At 43.9% G+C, this 3,380-nt stretch overlaps 1 annotated feature.

The window, feature by feature from the left end:
- Nucleotides 1,403-1,462: an enhancer, noted in NCBI's record as "active region_1732". NCBI's record gives its function as "activates an Ori minimal core promoter by ATAC-STARR-seq in GM12878 lymphoblastoid cells {active_cell/tissue: GM12878}" and the evidence as "EXISTENCE:reporter gene assay evidence [ECO:0000049][PMID:35858748]".

Raw genomic sequence — 3,380 nt, 5'->3', positions numbered from 1 at the left:
TATAAAAGAAAAATTATTTTATATTTTATAAAAGAAAAAACTGATAAATTGAAATCCTTAAAATTAAAAACTTTTAGTTCTTGAAAGACATTGAAAAGAGAGCGTGTAGGGAAGCAATAGGAAGATTTTGTGTCATATCTATCTGTATCTATGGCTACAGTTGTGTAACTTCTTTTATTTTTAATTCGCTGATTCCCCACGAGAGGGCGCCTTTCCACAAGTCCTTATTTAGCACAGCACTGATGGCCATAGACAATGCTCGAGCCTGGCTTTCTAGCACATCTCCATTTCCCAACACAGAGGCTAAGCCCTTTGTGGGAGGCACACATGTAGTCAGACAATCCTGGTAATATGTGATACGTTTGGGGAAAAATTTTTTTTAACAGTGACTTAAGACCTGGTAAGGTATCTGTGTGGCCAGATTAAAGGATAAGAGTGAGTTAGTAAAACCTAAAATGAACTGGGCGTGGTGGCTCACGCCTGTAATCCCAGCACTTTGGGAGGCCGAGACGGGCGGATTACGAGGTCAGGAGATTGAGACCATCCTGGCTAACACGGTGAAACCCCGTCTCTACTAAAAATACAAAAATATTAGCCGGGCGTAGTGGCGGGAGCCTGTAGTCCCAGCTACTTGGGAGGCTGAGGCAGGAGAATGGCGTGAACCTGGGAGGCGGAGCTTGCAGTGAGCCGAGATAGCGCCACTGCACTCCAGCCTGGGCGACAGAGCGAGACTCCGTCTCAAAAAATAATAATAATAATAAATAAAATAAACCTAAAATACAGGCAGTTCGTCTCTTTTTAGAAGTCAAAACCTTAACATCTGGGAGTGTCCGTATGAATTTTGGCCCCTAAAAATCTTAAAAAGGGATGTTTTTGAGTTGCCAGCATCAATACTTAGTATAAAAAGTTTATAAGTGCAATAACTCTTTGGAACTCTATCACCAAAGGAGGACATTCTTCTTCTATTTAGATGTCACACATCTCCACAAACCGAAATGCAGTCTGTTTCCTATTTATTGTTATATGTTGCCTGCATTCTTTCTTTCAACAGTTATTGAACACCTTGCTGTGTCCTAGGACCTGTGCACATCTTCTGGGATCTGCCATAATTTAATGCTAATTCTCTGTCCCCCTCTGGGAGAAGACAAACACATTAGCCACATGGTGATTAGATGTAGTTCAAGGTGTCTTAGGGTCTCTGAGGACTGGGGAGTTTGGAGAGTGTAAGGGATGGATCTTGGAAGTAGGTGATTTTTGAAGTAGGTGATGTTGGGGGACATCTTGGATGTACAGATTGTTTTTCGTAAGGTATACCAGCACAAGCAAAGGCAAAGGGACATTTGCATGATGCTACCATGAGGTATTATATACATAAAGTGTTTCGGGAAGACTGAAATAATTAATTTGCTAGAGTCACGTATAGAAAGGCTTCATTTGCCATTTCCAAGTAAAGAAGAATGAAGATTGACTGGGTGAAAAGGCGGTTTATGCACACAACCAGCAGGTGGCGCCCACCCTTCTGCACATCTAGCAGCCTGGTTAGTCCCTCCCAAATTACAGCAACCAGGAAGGAGTCAAATGCTGATGTCCACCTGGGCCAACCCTCACCCCCACACACATCCCACACCTTATACTCTGAGCTACTCTGAACCCACTACCTACAGAAACTAGAACAGATAGGAAACAGCATGGTTAAAAATGTTCCACACTTGCTTTCACTTTCAAGAAGAATGTCACTTCTGTGCTTTTACTTTCAGATAATTTAAAAACCAAAAGTCTACTTAATGCCAAAAAAAAAAAGAGAAGTAAAAATAGTAATTGATTTCAGAGTGGTGAGGACGCTGGACCTAAAACCAGGGGTACAAGGAAGCAGCCTCGGTGTGGTGGGGATCAGTGAGAGCCTGTGACTCCTGGGGCCCTCCTCGGCCACTGAGCTGGGGCTCACTGACACCAGGAGGCCAGCTCAGAGCATGGCAGCTGCTGCAGGCAGGGCCACTCGGCCGAATGAAGGCAATGGGGTGCAGAGGAGAGAACGGGGCTCTGGAGCCAGAACATCTGCTTTGCTGGCTCTGTGGCCATGTGTGAGTTACCCACTCTCACCAAACCACTATTTCTCAACTTCTAAATTGGTCCATAACACACTCCCAGAGGAGTTGACATGATCAGCATGTTTAAGTGCCTAGTGGTGCCCAGCATATAATATATACTCAGTCAGTAGAGGTAGCTCAACCCCATTACTCTCCTCTCTCACTCCCTTCCAGCCACACTGGCCTCTTTGCTGTATCTTGTGTAGATCAGGAATGATTTCACCTTAGGACATTTGCATTGGCTTTTCCCTCTACCTGGAATCTTCTTACCCAAGATATCTGCTTGGCTCCCTCCCTATATTTCTTTCAAAAGTAAGCTTCTTAATAAAGCAGAGCTGACCAGTCCATTTAAATTACAACTTACCCTTTATCCTTGCCACTTGCACTCTCATTCCTTATTCAGCTCTATTTCTATAGTGGTTACCGCCTTCTAACATGTTGTATAATTTACATATTTATTAGGGTTATTGTTTACTGCCTACTACTCCCACCCACATATCCCAGCTTTTATCTATTCTGTTTACTGCTGTATCTCTAGAGTCAATAACACTGACTGGACATCGTAGACACTCAACAAATACTTATCAGTTTTATGAATGAATGGATGCATGGATAGATGCTCTTCCATCTTCAAAAATCAAATATCATCTGTCAAACAGAGAGAGCAGGTGTTAAGGTCAAAGGCGATCCCTTATGTGAAAGGGCAGGTGGAGGAGGAAGCACTGCACCATGGAAAACTGTGTTCCAGGTGGTTGCCAAGAATACTCAGAAGTTAGAGATGAAGGGCTGCCCCAGACACAGCCTTGGGGCCCAAGATTCATACTGCTGTTAGAGGGGCACAAACTTGCTGGGTTTTGACTCTGGGAGGAAAACCACGTGTGGGGTCTTAAGCGGGGCCCTGTGTCTTTGGGGATTCACATTTGTTGCACCCAACTATACTCTGGAGCTTCAGAAATCAATGGAAGTTGCTCTGGATTCAAAAATCAATAGAAGTTGCTCCCTTCCCTGGAGATGCCCACGGTCAACCTTTGTCTTTTGGAGTCAGGCTAACCTGAAGTTGAATCCCAGCTCTACCACCATTGAGTTATGACCTTGGACAAATCACGTAAATTATCTGAGTTTACACTTCTATACATGGCAATATTAGTGGCCACTTTTCAGCAGACTGCCTACACACAGTGTGAATTTGAGAAATACTAGTTCCCTTACCGTTCCGTCTTCCATCTCTGAAACTTCGCTGGAGCTCCATCTTCTTGAGACATGGCGATGCATTTCAGGAGTTTCCCTGAAGAG

The sequence above is a fragment of the Homo sapiens genome, chromosome 1 (assembly GCF_000001405.40).
Source record: "Homo sapiens chromosome 1, GRCh38.p14 Primary Assembly".
In the NCBI taxonomy this organism is placed as follows: Eukaryota; Metazoa; Chordata; class Mammalia; order Primates; family Hominidae; genus Homo; species Homo sapiens.
The sequence above is the reverse complement of the archived record's forward strand: the minus strand, read 5'-3'. Positions and strand labels throughout refer to the sequence as shown.